Consider the following 17,407-nt stretch of genomic DNA (forward strand, 5'->3'; position numbering starts at 1 on the left):
ACTAGCATAAATTGGTTAACTCGTTGAAACATTGAAAATATGTTTCAGTGAGGTAACAAGAATCTGCAGCTCTTTTTACTTGGTAGAAATGCAATAATATTTTTATAGACCCAGTGAGAAAATGCAATAATATTTTTATAGACCCAGTGAGATTAATTGATTAATACAGAACCTTCTAGACAGGGCTGCTGAAGGATTACGTTAGGTGATGTTATAAGAAAGTTTAGAGCACAACTGAAAAAGAAGCACTGAATAAGTATTAGTTCTCTTTTCTTTCCTTCATATCATTTTGTCTCCCAGAGAGAATTTTGTGTTACTATAGAAGCAGCACTGGTGTCAAAGAAGCTTGGACTTTTCGTCTTAACTATTTGTTATCGCTTTGGATGACTGCCTGAACTGCTTCACTTTCTGTCTTAATCTTAAATTTAAGTCGAACGAATATTAAACTATTTGTTTTCACTTACAAAGTTTGGTGGCCTCCCTATCTCCCATTCAGATTGTCTACAATTGCCGAGGCTACCCTATTCACTCCTGCAGTTGTTGTATGAGATTTTAAAAATCAGTTCCTACAGAACTAATAACATTTGCCTTTGCCATTATAAATACTGTAGAGACTATATATGAAAGTCTGTGTTCCTACCTTGACACTTGCTATATTTGGTTAACACTGTGTGAGTGCTTAAGGTATGCAGTGACACTCAACAAGACAAAACTTTCTTTTGAAGTTGAACCAGCCACTCCCAAAAGAAGGGGGTAGAACTAGCCTAAAAATATATATATATAATAAGGCAGTAGAGCCAGTGGGTCTCCAGAAACACACCTTACTGTTCTTATCCACCTATTGCTATAGCAAGGAAGGCCTACATGCAATTAAAAACCAAACTTCATACTTCAGTTCTAATTTTCAAAGCTTTAAAATTAGACTTTGTTAAATAGGTCCATTAATAATTGAAGATTAGAACCAAAGCCAATAAAATGAGCTCTGAACACCTTTCTAGTTTCTCAGAGCACTGTACTTACATTTATGTTCATCCTTCAAACAAATGAGAAATTGTAAATAATAATTAACATTTGTGAAGCATTTTACTCTTTCGAGGTGTTTTCTTGTTCCCTTCTCAGTTAATCCTCAAAGCAATCCAGAGCAGTCAGTGATATTTTTATCTTTTTTTATAGATGTCGAAACTCAGTTTCTGAGAGATTAAGTAACTAACCCAAGATCACATAGTGAAAAATAAACTGAGGCTAGGGCTCATCTTGTGATTCTGAGGTTTACTACATTATAATGCTTAATAAATTTTTGTTCTTGTTTTATAGATGGGAAAATTGAAACAGAGCAGTTAAATGATTTTTCCAGTTTCAATCTTAGGTTCAAAATAAAGGTATATGTTTATGTAATTGTACTACATATGTGGAACAGTGAAAGTGTGATGTAAAGGAAAATTCAGTAATTTGGGTTCTTAGTCCTTTACCTGCCATTTATCAGGAGAGCTAGGTGTGTGGCTACACATATTGATGCTGGGGACATGTTAGAAGGTTTACATAGGTATGTTTGTAAGATGGCCCAATAGACTTTTACAGTTTCCCAGCACTGTTACACACCAAAGAAAGGAACTGGGAAAGAAAACCATTTTTACAGTGTTGTCAGAAAGCATTCTTAGATCTTTTTCTCTTCTCTTTGCAGAGACGTTGGCAATGTGGTTGAAGCCATGTATGGGGACCTTCCTCCTCCAATTATGCTGATTGGACATAGCATGGGTGGTGCTATTGCAGTCCACACAGCATCATCCAACCTGGTACCAAGCCTCTTGGGTCTGTGCATGATTGATGTTGTAGAAGGTGAGTTTTCTTAGCACTGACCAAATCAGGATTTCACTTATAAGAGACATCCTTGGTAGATTATTACCTTGTCTTAGTTTATTGTTGATTTCATTCATCTTGAAATATGTCCCTCTGTCTTTATATCTTTTTTAAGTTTATACAAGATAACCATTTTTCCATGTCATCAAAAACTCTTCATTAACATCTTTTTATGGCTGCATAATATTTCAATCCTATGTATGTCCCATAATTGTATTTAATCATATAAAAAGAAGCTGCCATGTCTTTTCTGACCCAGCTTCAGAAGTCACACTGCTGCTTGTGAATACAAGTCATCCTCTTCAGTGTGAGGGCATGACATAAAGAAGTGAATACCCCAGAGGCAAAAATTATTGAGGGCCATCTTTATTTCTCTGCGAGCATCACTAAATTCTGCTGTCATCAAGAGCAGATATATAGTAGTTGACTCAGTAAGTGTAAATGCTCAGAATAAGTTAAATATGTGGTTACAGTTTTTGTTTAACATCCAGGTACAGCTATGGATGCACTTAATAGCATGCAGAATTTCTTACGGGGTCGTCCTAAAACCTTCAAGTCTCTGGAGAATGCTATTGAATGGAGGTAACCAACAAATCTTTGTCGCCTTTATTTAATTAATTTGTTTGTTTGTTTGCTTGCTTATTTATTTATTTAGGAGACAAGGCCTCACTCTGTCACCCAGGCTGGAGTGCAGTGGCATGATCCTAGCTCACTGCAACCTTGAACTCCTAGGTTCAAGCAATCCTCCCACCTCAGCCTCCCAAGTTGCTAAGACTACAGGTACACACCACCAAGCCTGGCTAATTTTTAAATTTTTTGTAGAAACGAGGTCTTGCTATGTTGCCCAGGCTGGCTTCAAGTAATCCTCCTGCTTTAGCCTGGCCTCAAGTAATCAAGTAATCAAATTCCTGGCCTCAAGTAATCCTCCCACTTTAGCCTCCCAAAGTGTTGGGGTTGTGGCGTGAGCCACAGTGCCCAGCCACTGTTGCCTTTATTCTAAATGTTAGATTGTAGCTTTTCTTCTTTTTTAGGTCAAGCACCAAGTTCAAGGAATAGAATTTCAGTTGCCACGCCTTATTGTAATAGCATATGAGGAAACATTATATAAACAGCAGAATTTTTTGAACATTTAAAAATATTTTAGATTTGGCTCAGTTGTCTGAAACCCATTGTTTTCCCAATACACTATAGTACCTCCTGGAATCTTAGTAATTATTGATCATCTGCTGTCTAGCTGTTTCTGCCTCTGAGGTAAGAGGTTAGACTAGGTGGTTTCTAAGGCATCATCCACCTCTGATGCTTCATGGTTTTAGATTTACTTTCTGTGTTTCAGATAAAATGGTGGAGAAATGGAAGATGGCTATAGGTTCCATTCCCTCAAATTTATTTGGATTTTGGGTAAATAAACTCAATGGGTAAATAGTTTTTATAAAAATCAGTGACAGAATTCCATTTAAGCAAAGGAATGAATTTATTCATTAATTCAGTTAATCATTTGATAAAGTATTTATTAAACACTTATTTTGTGCTAATGAGTGAAGATTCAGAGATGAATAAAACACTGTCCCTTCCCACAAGGAGATCAGTCTTTGGATAAATGTCTTCATCATCCTATCTTCCTTCCTATTCTTCTAACTCCATCTCCAGTCTCTTCTTCAGAACATTTTCTCTTAAGTTCTCCAAACCACCCAGATGACGCTTTCAGCAAAATTACAAGAGACCTTTAAGTCTCTATTATATTGCACTGTATACCCTTAAGTTTTCCAATACTCCCTTGAGGGATATGGCTCATATTGTTAATTTTCATTAATGTCTGTCTTAATGCCCTTCCTGCATCATAAGGGAAGAAGCTATTCTGTATTTCTTTTCTACTTTCATATAGCATATGGCATACTGCCCTAGCAGGCAGAATATATCTGTTAACTGAATCAGATATCAAGTGGAAATTTAGGACTTGGTAAATATATCCTAGGCGTTTTCCTAGGACAAATGGTCTTATGCAAGAATATGGCTTGTCAGAATGATGTTTGTGTTGGTGAAGTTTCTACCACTTCCTGTTCACTACTGTGATGCAGGATTCCTGTTCTCACAGAAATATCAAAGATCTATCTTGGGCAGATAGCATCAAGAATGTAGCTGCTGCCAGCTTGGCTTGTATCTCAGGTGCCCTGCCTGCTTCCGCAGTAACAACAAGTGAGAAAGTTATTCTAGACTTGGCTCAGTTGTCTAAAGCCCATCCAACTTTTATCCAAACTTTTTTTTTTTTTTTTTTTGAGACAGGGTGTCACTCTGTTGCCCAGGCTGTGGAGTCCAGTGGCATGATTACAGCTCTCACCGCAGCCTTGACCTTCTGGGCTCAAGCGATCCTCCTGCCTCAGCCACCCAAGTAGCTGGGACTACAGCTGTGCACCACGATGCCCAGCTAATTTTTGTTATTTGATTTTTTTTTTTTTTTTTTTTTTGTAGAGACAGGGTTTTATCATGTTGGCTCGACTGGTCTTGAACTCCTGAGCTCAAGCAGTCTGCCTGCCCGCCTCGGCCTCTCAGAGTCATGGGATAAATGGGTATGAGCCACTACGCCTGGCCCTTTTTCCGAACTCTAAAAATTTATTCAGTAAATTTTTTTTTCTAGTGCCTAAGATGTGTCAGTACCTGATCTAAGAACTGGGGGATGAATCAGGCTCAGTTCCTATCATCAAAAAACTGGGGATGCAAACAAGGAAACACATAAACATAACACAATGAAGGAAGCCAGGGGATATACCTAATGCAGCCTGGGTATCATGGTAGGCCTTCTCTTAAAGTAGTCTTGTTTCTTTTGCCAGATACAGGATAGAATAAGGGTTCTGTTTGTTAAATGTTAAGATGTTCTGGGTTTCATGAGAGTCATTGATCTTTCTGAACCTGAAAATTATTATACTATGAGGTATTTGGTAATTTTGTTTTTTATTCTGCTGGATATCTGAATCAAGTTTATGACTGATGGCCATTTTGGCTATTCTAGATTTTTTTTTATGTTGAAATATAAGGCCAATGATTTACTGCTTTTGCTCTCATAGGTTTCCTAATGAGAGGCAGCAGGGGTATAGTCATTAAGAACCTGGGCTTTAGGCCAGGTGTGGTGGTTCACACCTGTAATCCCAGTGCTTTGGGAGGCTGAGATAGGAATATTACTTGAGGCCAGGAGTTTGAGACCAGCCTGGGCAACATAGCGAGACCCTGTCTCTACAAAAAATATATATATTTTTTTAATTAGCTGGGTGTGGTAGCATGTGCCTATAGTCCCAGCTACTCAGGAGGCTGAGGTGGGAGGATCATTTGAGCCCAGAAGTTCAAGGTTATAGTGAGCTATGATCATGCCACTGCACTTCAGCCTGAACAACAGAGTGAGACCTTGTCTCGAAACAAAACAAAAAAGTTAGGGGAAACCTGGGCTTTGAGGTCAGACAGATACAAATTTGCATCTTGGTTACACCACTCTGGCTGTTCTGAGGAAAATCAAATAGAAGAAGTGGGGAATGAGGTGTGAAGTTGGTTAGGAGACTGTTATAGTAAAGGAGAGTAATAATGGTAAACATAGACGAGGATGGCAACAGAGGAAGAGAGTCATTTTTTAATGTATTTTCGAGGTAGAACTGACAGGACTGGTTTATGGATTGGATGTTGGGAGAGAGACGGGGAAGGGCAGGAAGGGACTTAAGGATGACTTCTAGGTTTTTAGCCCAAGCAATTGGGTGAATGGTAGAAACAGAAAGAGGTAGATATGGGAGCAAATAAGGGGCAGAGAATCAGTTTTGTTTGGATAAACTCAAATGCTTATTACATATGTAAGTAGAAATGTTAAGTAGGCAGTTGTATATACTAGTTAGAAGAGGCTGAACTAGAGATAAATTGGAGAATCGTCATCACATAGTTAATATTTAAAAGTGAAAGATTGAATGTAAAGACCTAGGAACTTGATATTGATAGGAAAAAGATCCAAGACTGAGTCTTGGGATATTCCACAATATTTAGAGCTTGGGAAGAAGAGGAAGATCCAACAAAGAAACTGAAAAGGCACAGTTGATGAGATAAAAGGAAAACCAGGTGAGTATATTAAGTGTTTGTAGAAGGAGGGAGAGAATAACTGTGTCGGATGCTGCAGAGAGATCAAGTAAGATGAGGACCAAGAAATGACCATTGGAATTGGCATGATAGAGGTGACCTTGACAAAATAAATATCTGAAAATAAATGGGATATAAAAATCATATATAAGTTGGGGAAAGGATGAGAGGTGACAAAGTAGAGAAAGCAAGATAACTCTTTTGAGGAGCTTTGCTGTATAGGAGAGCAGAGAAATGGAGTAATAGGTAGTAGTGAATGTGGCATTGGGAATGTTTTTAAAGGCTGGATAATGGAGTATGCTTGTGACATCCACGAGAGAAAAAAAGTGACACAGAAGAGAGACAGGATAACTGAAAGAAAGAGTATCTTTTCAGAAGCAAGAGGGGATGGGAACTAGTGCCCAAGGTTGGCCTTGATAGGAATAGATATTTCATGTATTAAACAGGCATCAAGGCAGAGTATATTATTACAAGTATTGGTGAATTTGTGGATTCATTTGGTAGTTAAAAGATGAGGTAATAGTTCTGATTGCCTCGGTTTACCATTAAAGTAAGAAATCATGTCATTATCTGAGGAGAGGGGCTTTAAAATTTTGAATGATTTTTTAAACTAAGAAATGAGATTTAAAGAAGTGCTTTCTCCTAGTGGCTTGCTTCAGGCAGTGTTTCCAGTTCACCCTGGGAATGCAGTCATTTTGCTCTGCCTTAGTTGTACTTAGGTGGACAAATGTGAGAAGACTAATTTATTCAGATAGCCTAAGCCCTGTAGCACGGCACACAAGGCCCTGGAGAAGCTGGCGCCTGCCTTCCAATCCTATTCTGTCACGCTCCCCTTTTATCTCCTCCCTGCTTCTCCTTGCACCCAGTTCTCTAAAATCATTATCCTGCCGACTTTCACATCACAGCACCTTTGTACATAATGTGCCCTCTGCCTAGAATGCTCTAACCAACCTCTTTTATTTTCTGGTTAAACTTGTTATCTATACTCCTCAGTTTAGCTGTGACCTCTGGGGAGCTTTCTCTGACCTCCTCATTCATGTTCAAGTGCTTTCTTTGAACCTTGCCTCATTATATTAACATTATATGTGTCTTTTTCTCCCTACCGAATTATGTGCTTTTTGAATACAGGCCTGGCACCTAGTATCCTCTTGATAAATATCTGCAGAACTGAAATGGCTATGATGTTTTTACTTAATTTTTACTTATAAAACCATGTAGCCAGGTGAGTAATAGTGGCAATCTCTATAGTAAGAAACACTGGTGATCACTACTTTTTATTAGGTCTCACATAATCTGTAGAATTATTTATTTGATTCCAATGATGTGATACAATAGATACTGAATAACCTTCTCTCTTCCTTTCTTTTCTTTCCCAGTGTGAAGAGTGGCCAGATTCGAAATCTGGAGTCTGCCCGTGTCTCAATGGTTGGCCAAGTCAAACAGTAGGTCTTACTCTTCCCCCTTGGTCTGGTTAGAGGCGGAAACATGGTGAGGGAATTACAGATTGCTTCTTTTGTCTTACACCAATTCTACCATTCCGGTAAATGCCTTTATTATTTTAAATAATTTTAAAGGTGAGTTCAGTTGGGACAGACATAGATTTTCTTTCGCCTGCCTTCCTTTCTCTCCTTCCTTTCCTTCCCTTTCTTTTTTTTCCTCCTCATTTAATACTGGATTACCTTAGCAAAACTCTGCGTGTTAAAAAGCAAATCCCAGAGCATAGACATTACAAATTATGTTAACCTTAGTGATAGCAGCTGAGTTTCATTCTAGTAACAGTCTCCTTCTAAGCCAAACCTGGCTGTGAGGGAATTATAATAAAAAAGCTCTGGCATAGCCTGAGTGAAAGCCAGATTCTAAGAGTGAGCTAAGATTATTTAGCCCAATTGATCTTTCCTGATAGAATTACATGGCATTCTGGGTATTGCTGTATAGTCACAAAATAAACTTTAGATGAATTGAGAAAATGTTGCCCAACAGAACAGACAGAAGTTAGATGAAAATGATAATGGCTTTGAGTGCTTACTATTTGCCAGGCACTGTGCAAGGTATTTTATATGCACTGTCTCATTTTTAAAACCTTATATTATGGAAAAATTTTGCACATATAAAAGAAGAGTGATACAGTGGATGGACCCCAGTGTTCCCATTGTCCATTTTCAATGGTTATTAACCCATAACCATGTCTCATTTGTTTCATCTGTGCCCCTATGTATTTCCCCTAGTCACAAAATATTTTGAAGCAAATTCCAAACAAATATAATTTCCTCTGCAAGATTTTCATATGATCTAAAAATAAGGGCTCTTTAAACATCATCACGATGACATTATTACACGTAAAAAAATTGGCAATTCTTTAATATCATCAAATATCTAATCAATATTTACATTTCTGATTGTCTCATAAATAATTTTTTACAATTAAAGTCAAAATCAAAATAAGTAGATAGCAATTGGTTGATCCACCTCTCATGCATCTTTTAATCTAAGGTTCCACTTCTGTCTCCCTCTTTTTTTTGATTCCTTGCAATTTATTTCTTGAGGAAACCTTGTTTGCCCCATAGAATTTCCCATGATCTGGATTTGCTGATTGAATTCTCAGGCCATAATTTAACATATTCCTTTGTTCCTTATATTCTGTGTAAATAGTTAAATCTAGAAGCTTCATCGGGTTCAGGTGTTTTGTTTGCAAGAATACTTGATAGGTGATGTTGCGTACTGCCATCAGGAAGTACATAATGTCTGGTTGTCTTTTTTTTTTTTTTTTTTGAGACAGAGTCTCACTCTGTCGCCCAGGCTGGAGTGCAGTGGCGCGATCTCAGCTCACTGCAACCTCTGCCTCCCAGGTTCAAGCAATTCTCCTGCCTCAGCCTCCTGAGTAGCTGGGACTACAGGCATGTGCCACCATGCCCGGCTAATTTTTTATATTTTTAGTAGAGGTGGGGTTTCACTGTGTTAGCCAGGATGGTCTCTATCTCCTGACCTCATGATCCGCCCACCTCGGCCTCTCAAAGTGCTGGGATTACAGACGTGAGCCACCATGCCCAGCCAATTGTCTCTTTTTTTTTAATGTCAGGAGCCGTTGATGTTTATTACCTAGATTCATTAATTCATTTGCACTATCTCATTTAATCCCTACAATACCTCTTTAAGATAAGTATTGCTTTATAGATGAGGAAATAGAAGTTCAGAGAGGTAGTTTCCCAAGATCACATAGCTAGTGGATGACATAGCTGAGATTCAAACTCCTGTGTATTTGACTTCAAGGCCTATCTTATGGTTTTATGCCTAAAAGGGCAATTTCAGTAGAAATATCAGGCAGTCAAAATGCAAGACTTTGAATAACCTGTGAGACTGCCCACTTTTCAATTCCTAAATATTTTGAGACCTCAAATTTGTCTAATCAGTAGTAAAGCATTTTACATGGCATATATGCAGATAGTTGAGTGATTTTAAAATTTTATTTCCAGTGATGTTTTCTCTTAATAAGTAAACCTATGTGTAGGAGAGTGTGTATGTGCATGTGTATTAACTGTCACATAGATAGCTGGAACTTTCCTGCCCCTTATAATCCAGGTGAAATTGCCTTGAACCTCCTAATCCACAGGCTATAGAAATTCAAAGCATATGTTTCTTTGTTACACTGTTTTTTTTTTTTTTATCACATCTATACTGTATACTACATGTGAAACTTGGCACAAGTTTCATATAAAACACCTACTTAACAAAACATTTGTGAACTTACACTTCACTGAAGGTTTGGCAGAGAAGACAGAAAGGGAGAAGTTATCATTCTTAAAAATCTACCGCTGACTTTTGAATTTATCCCAGTCTCTTTTTATCTTGCTTGTTCTCTCTCCTTTTCCTTCTCTGTCTTTGTCAAGGGCAAAATAACAGATTGTTCTCTATCATACAGAGCAAACCTTGGCACTAGCTGTTGCCCAGGCCCTTGGGATTTTTTTACCTTCAGAGCTTGTCAATGTGTTTTTTCCATCAAGTTCTCTCTAAAGGAAGTATGGTACCAGCTGTTGATATAATAATAATTTTTCTACCAAAGAATATAATAAAAAGAGATGCAATTTTTAAGAGAAAAACAACAATGATAATTGGTTGGTTCAGATGGTTTCTGTCAGCTAATTAAAAAGTGAGGCCTTTTATCATTCTGTTTGAGCCTTGTTCTACTATAAGCAGGGTTCAGCAGAAAAGCACCATGTTTTGGAGTTAGTTGAGCCTGGATTTGCATCCCAGCCTTAACCACTTATGAGTTAGGTGATGCTGGACAATTTTCTTAACTCTTCAGGGCTACTTCATAGGATTGTTATGAAGATTATATAAGATTATGCCAATAAAACTCATGCCTGAGGAAGTGGTTGCTCCCTTTCTATGGGTCAGTATTGGTGCAAGAACTGGAAACCAGCCCTTGGAGAATAGTTATACATTGGCCATGATTTTCCACAGCCCTGGAAATGCACAATTCTATCCTCCTACCAGGATGATTGTTAAGTTTTAGCTAACATTTGATTATAAAAGGCCGTAAGTATGAGTATCTCTGAGATAATTTGTGTATTGGAAAGAGGTGTGTAATAGCACTTTTTTAAAAAAACCTAGGTGTGAAGGAATTACAAGTCCAGAAGGCTCAAAATCTATAGTGGAAGGAATCATAGAGGAAGAAGAAGAAGATGAGGAAGGAAGTGAGTCTATAAGCAAGAGGAAAAAGGAAGATGACATGGAGGTGGGTAAAAACATTCATTCTTGAAAAGATGCGGTATGGAATGGTTCAAACTGTGTGTGGGTGGGAAGGGGTGATAACATTGTTCTTTTTGTTTGCCATTAGGTATTTTAGGGAGCCAAGACACTATCATAAGAGATACTTAGCTTAACTATAAGATGTAAAGCACTGTTGATAGCTCTGACCAATTGGAACATAAAACTTACGCTATATACCCTCCCCTAAAACAGACTGCTTTCTCACCTGTTCTTCTGTTCCTGTGTTTCCTCCCATGAGAAAAATTCCATTTCCTACCAGTCTACTCTAAGCTCATCCAGATCTTTTTTTTTTTTTTTTTTTTTGAGACAGAGTCTTGCTCAGTCACCCAGGCTGGAGTACAATGGCGCGATCTCGGCTCACTGCAAGCTCCGCCTCCCGGGTTCACGCCATTCTCCTGCCTCAGCCTCCCATGTAGCTGGGACTACAGGCGCCCGCCACCACACCCAGCTAATTTTTTTTTGTTATTTTTAGTAGAGACGGGGTTTCACCGGGTTAGCCAGGATGGTCTCAATCTCCTGACCTCGTGATCCACCCGCCTTGGCCTCCCAAAGTGCTGGGATTACAGGCGTGAGCCACCATGCCCGGCCTAAGCTCATGCAGATTTTACCCTGTCCATCTGTCTTTCAAAGTTTTTCTCCTTGAGGAAGCTCTTTAATTTTCTTTCCATTTTTTTTTTTTTTTTTTTCGTTTGAGACTGGGTTTTGCTATGTTGCCCAGGCTGAATTCCTTGGCTCACGTGATCATCCCACCTCAGCCTCCCCAGTAGCTGTAGCTGGGACTACAGGTGCGTGCCACCACACCCAACTTCCCTGGGGAAGCTTTCTGACCTCAATTAGTATCACTGTCTTTCCAACACAGCACTGAAAGTCTGTATGACACACCTTAGCACTTTTTTTTTGAAGTTGTACATATTAAGTCATAGAACTGATTTTATAAGTCACACTCAGAAATACTATGGTCCTTTGCTAGTCATCTGTTGACTCATGTTGTCCTCTGTGCAAGAATTGTATTCCAAACAAACAAAAAATGTGTATTTTGTGGCAGAAACTGATGTTCTGCATGAATTTCCCTCTGCATTTAGCTCAGGGTTGTATAAATAGTGTTTTATGAGTACTTGCCAGGCAAGTAGTGGTAACAAGTGCTTTTTTCTTGAAAATGTTTAGTGCTCATGAACAGCAGACTAGGGATGGTTTCGATTATAAACATCTTACTAATGGCAGGTAATGAACATGTAATGACCTACTCCTTTGCATTTGGTGATGCTGCTGTTAGCAAGAAGGAGAATACATTTTTAAACAGTATTTTAAATTTGAGGATCTTCTTGCCATCTTTAAAACAGTGATCAGAAATGTAATACTTTGTACCTCTTTAGAGTTTACAAGGGTTTAAATAACGCATGGTCTGTTTGGTCCTCTGAACACCTTATGAGGTGTGGAGAGATCTTTTCTCCCATATTATGGTGTAGAATCTGAGGCTCAGAAGTTAAGAGACTTGCCCAAGGTAATCAAGAACGCATTTAGTAGATTTGAGACTCTTAATATAATCAATTGCTTTTTACCCATTATGTGCTAAGCACTATGCTGAATGCTTCACATTTATCATCTCTAATTCTCATTTTAGTTCTGCATTGTAGGTATTATCACCATTTTACAACTTAGGTACAGATACTTGCCCATGGTCACACATAAAAGTTAAAGCTAAAACACACCCAGATCCTCGATTTTTAATTCTAACTCATTTTTTCTTTGTATTTTTTTATAAGCCCAATTATGTGGTTTCATAAACTCCAGCAGTTCTGTTGAGAGGGTGAACTGAGGCACATTAAGGAGTGTCCATGAGAATTCACTCCCCATTTCTCCCCAACCCTCCCAGCTTAGGCAACCACTAATCTAATCTCTATAGATTTGCCTAATCTGGACATTAAATATAGATGGAACTATATAATATGTGGTCTTTTGTGACTGGCTTCTTTTCTCTTAAAATAAAATTATCAGGGTTCATCCATATTGTAGCACGTATCAAATACTTCATTTCTCTATATGGTTGAATAATGTGACATTGTATGGCTATACCACAGTTTTTAATCCATTCATCGCTTGATGGACATTTGGGTTGTTTCCACTTTTTGTCTATTATGAATAATACTTCTTTGAACATTTGTGTGCAACTTTTTGTGTGGATATAGGCTTTTATTATTTGTCTTGGGTACACAGCTGGGAGTGGAACTGATCGATCATATGGTAACTATATTTAACCTTTTGAGGAACTGACAGACCGTTTTCCAAAGCAGGTGCACCCTTTTACATTCGCACTTGCAGTGTATGCGTGTTCCAGTTTCTCAGTATCCTTGTCAGCACTTGTTATTTTCTCTCTTTTTGATTATAGCCATCCTAGTGTGTATGAAGTGATATCTGATTGTGGTTTTGATTTTCATTTTCCTAATGACTGCTGATATTGAGTTTCTTTTCATGTGCTTATTGTCCACTTATATATCTTCTTTGGAGAAATGTTTGTTAGATACGTTGCCCATTTTTTACTTGGGTTATTTGATTTTATTACTGAATTTTAAGAGTTCTATATATATTCTAGATACAGATCCCTAATTTGCAAATACTTTCTCCCATTCCATGGGTTGTCTTTTCACTTTCTTGATGGCATTCTTAGAAGTATAGACGTTTTTAATTTTGATGAAATTCAATTTATTTTTCTTTTTGTCCCTTGTACTTTTGGTATTATATCTAAGAAGTCTTTGCCTAAAAGTCATGAAGATTTATACCTATGTTTTCTTCTAAGAATTTTCTTGTTTTAGCTCTTACATTTAGGCCTATGTTCCATTTTGAGTTAATGTTTGTGTATGATATCAGGAATGGAACCAACTTCATTCTTTTGCATGTAGATACCCAATAAACAGCCTGTCCCAGCTCCATTTATTGAAAAGGCTCCTTTTTCCCCATTTAATTGTCTTGGCACCTTTGCTGAAAATCAATTGACTATAAATGTTAGATTTTATTTCTGAACTCTGAATTCTATTCTGTTGATCTATATGTCTGCCCTTATGCAAGTACCACACTGTCTTTGTTATTGTAGCTTTGTTGTATGTCTTGAAATCAGACAGTGTGTAAGTCCTCCAACTTTGTTCTTCTTTTTCAAGGTTATTGACATCCTATATATTTTTTAAAAATTTTAATACTTGTTTATGTGCCAGACCACGCTCCTGTTGTTTTACATACATGAGTATCTTTAGCTCATCCTTACAATTCTTTCAGATCTTGTGTTGCCAATTTCACAGCTAAGAAAACAGTCTGGGGTTGGGTGCAGTGGCTCATGTCTGTAATCTCAGCGCTTTGGGAGGCCGAGGTGGGTGGATCACGAGGTCAGGAGATTGAGACCATCCTGGCCAACATGGTGAAACCCCGTCTCTACTAAAAATACAAAAATTAGCTGGGCGTGGTGGCGTGCGTCTGTAGTCCCAGCTACTCGGGAGGCTGAGGCAGGAGAATCGCTTGAACCCGGGAGGCAGAGGTTGCAGTGAGCCGAGATTGTGCCACTGCACCCCAGCCTGGGCGACAGAGTGAGACTCTGTCTCAAAAAAAAAAAAAAAAAAAAAAAAACAGGCTGGAAGAAATTAAGTAACTTTCCCAAGGGACCCACAGTGATTAGTTAAGAATGGCTTTGGGACTTGCATTCAGTCAGATCTGACTGACACAAAGCGTTATGTTTTTAAACACTTTTCCAGTGAAACAATGGGAGATAATGCAAGGCCTGTGGTGGATGCCCTTGTGTGGAGAACTGCATCTCGCCCAGGTAAACATCCCAGGAAGATTGTTAGCCAACTTTCTGTTTCTCCCACCCAACAACAAGTGGATCTCATTATATCAGCCTGCTTTATTACCATTTTCACAGCATCTAATAGGCATCTAAACTAAACTTCATGATCCAGCTCTTTGGAGAAAGGATTTATTTCCAATAACCTAAATACAGAAGAAATCCTAATTCTGTCCAGAATTTTTTTTTTTGGTTTTGCAAATTTTAAGATTTGAGATGAACTGTTATATATATATATATTATAATGTTACTTTTTGGAGGTTTTCTTACCTTAAATTTGTCATTTCCCTGTGAAGTTCAGTGTGCATGTAGGAGGGGCTTGTGAGATTATGCCTTGTCTCTGACGGTGGAGCTGATCTCTTAGAAATGGCTCATAGTGTTGTGGGGAATAGGACAGGCTGAGGTTCCAGGTTGAAATGGCAGTAAGTGTTTCCTTTAAAGTGTCCTATCCCTGGTAAATATTAACAGTGGAGAATAGAATTAGTTCTTTAGTGAGAATATTTGAATCATAAGGTACCTTTGTATCTCCTTTTACTGATGGAAGACCAAGGCCCAAAGAAGGGAAGGGATCTGAGAAAATCAGTGGCAAAGATAGGACTAGAAGACCCAAGTTTCTTGATTTCCCATCTGGCGATCTTTTTCTTTTTCTTTTCCTTTCTTTCTTTCTTTTTTTTTTTTTTACTGTGATAAAAAACAAAAACAAAACAAAAAACAACCCATAAAATATGCCATCTTGGTAATTTTTAAGTGTACAGTTAATATTCACATTGTTGTGAAACATCTGAGATTTTATGCCTATTAAACAACAACTCCCCTTTTCTAAAACTCTTCCAAAGGCCCCTGGTTGCCACCATTCTACTTTCTATGAATTTGACTATTTTAGATACCTCATATAAGTGGGATCATATATTATATGTCTTTTTGTGACTGGCTTATGTCACTTGGCATAATGTCCTCAAAGTTCAGTCCCTATGCAGCATGTGATAGCATTTCTTTCCTTTTTATGGCTGAATTATATATGTATATACCACATTTCGTTTATTCATTCATCCATCAGTGGCCATTTGAGTTGCTTCCACCTCTTGGCTGTTATCCATAGTGCTGCTATGAACATGGGTTTGCAGATCCCTCTTTGAGATTCTGTTTTCAATTCTTTGGATATGTACCCAGAAGTGGGATTCCTGGATCATACAGTAGTTCTGTTTTTAATATTTTGAGGAACTGCCTTGATGTTTTTCTTATTGGTTGAACTATTTTACAACTCAGTACACAAGGGTTCCTTCCGAATTCTCCACATCCTCACCAACACTTATTTTTCTCTTTTTTGATAGTAGTCATCCTAATGGGGGTGAGGTGGTATCTCATTGTGGTGTTGCTGTGCATTTATTTATTGATTAGTGATGTTAAGCATCGTTTCATATGCTTATTGGCCACTTCTGTATCACCTCTAGAGAAATGTCTATTCAAGCCCTTTGACCATTTTTTAATCAGGTTACTCGATGTTTTTAGTTGCTGAATTGTAGGAGTCCTTTATATATTCTGAATATTAATCCATTATAAGATATATGATTTGCAAAGATTTTCTCCCATTCCATACACATAGTACCATTTGTCTATTTTTGCTTTTGTTCACTGCTTTTTGGTGTCATATCCAAGAAATCATTACCAAGTCTACTGTCCAGCTTTTCCTCCATGTTTTCTTCTAGGAGTTTTATAGTCTTAGTCTTACTAGGTCTTTAATCCATTTGAGTTAATTTTTGGATATGGGATAAGGCCCCAGCTTCACTTTGGAATATGCATATCTGTTTGGTTATCCCAGTACTGTTTGTTGAAGAGACTGTTCTTTCCCCATTGAGTGGTCTTGGCAGTCTTGTCAAAAATCATTTGACTATTTATGTGAAGGTTTATTTTTGGGCTCTCTATTCTATTCCACTGGTCTATTTGTCTTTACGGCAGTACTAAGCTGTTTCAATTACTGCAGCTTTGTAATTGGGGAGTGTGAGTTCTCCAATTTTGTTCTTCTTCAAAATTGTTTTGGCTAGTCAGTGTCTATGAGATTCCATATGAATTTTAAGGTGATTTTTTTTATTTCCTAAAAAAAAAAGCCATGGGAATTTTGATAGAGATTATATTGAATCTGTGGATTACTTTGGGTAGTATGGACATCTTAAGCATCCAGTGATCTTTAAGATAATATGTTACTATCTCATGTTCACTTTTAGATTTTCATATTGTGGTTGATTCAGTATATTTATTTCAATTATAATGTTTCAAATATTTCAATGGTACAGAAAAATATAGAGAATTATTTATTTTTTCAGCCAATATTTGATTGCATACTCTGTGCTTATCTACAATAAAGATTTAATAAATGTTGACATTTTGTCATATTTGTCTCATATTTCCTTTCAAAATTACTATTGCAGGAACATTATATCATTATCATAAAATATAAGAAAAAATGCTCTACTGACAAATCAACCTATTTTCAGTTTTCCTTTTTAGTACTTTACTATACCACATTTTTCCAGTAGTAATCCTAACTTAGATGACATGTTGTAATCTGTTTCTTGCTTATATTATAAGCATTTTTTCATACTGCAGTATGTTCTTTGTAGTTATTCTTTTGATGAAACATCCTTTTGCCAACCAAGTATAAGAAAGGCTTAATCTTGGCACTACCACTTACTAGCTTTGTGATCTTAAGAAAGTTTCCTAAATTCACAGAAACTAATAGCAATAAAAAGTAAACTTGTAATTATCTTAAAATGAATATTAACAGTGACCCATACAACAAGACTGTTGGAAGGATTGAATGTATATTAAAATGTCTAGGACTTAGTAGGTCCTTAA

The 17,407-nt window shown here is 37.5% G+C and overlaps 1 protein-coding gene across 4 annotated transcripts in view; it reads left to right on the forward strand.

The window, feature by feature from the left end:
* The window catches only part of PPME1 (protein phosphatase methylesterase 1), an 83,415-nt gene that overhangs the window by 57,275 nt on the left and 8,733 nt on the right, over nt 1–17,407 (forward strand). For 3 of the 4 annotated variants that reach the window (NM_001271593.2, NM_016147.3, XM_047427116.1), the window contains exons 6-9: nt 1,682–1,836; nt 2,349–2,439; nt 7,338–7,403; nt 10,570–10,693. In NM_001271593.2, the coding sequence (NP_001258522.1) occupies nt 1,682–1,836; nt 2,349–2,439; nt 7,338–7,403; nt 10,570–10,693 (436 nt within the window). Of the gene's footprint in view, nt 1–1,681; nt 1,837–2,348; nt 2,440–7,337; nt 7,404–10,569; nt 10,694–14,465; nt 16,933–17,407 lie in introns of those variants that run through there. The other variant, XM_017017913.3, reaches the window with a different exon arrangement.

The sequence above is a fragment of the Homo sapiens genome, chromosome 11 (assembly GCF_000001405.40).
Source record: "Homo sapiens chromosome 11, GRCh38.p14 Primary Assembly".
Classification (NCBI taxonomy): domain Eukaryota; kingdom Metazoa; phylum Chordata; class Mammalia; order Primates; family Hominidae; genus Homo; species Homo sapiens.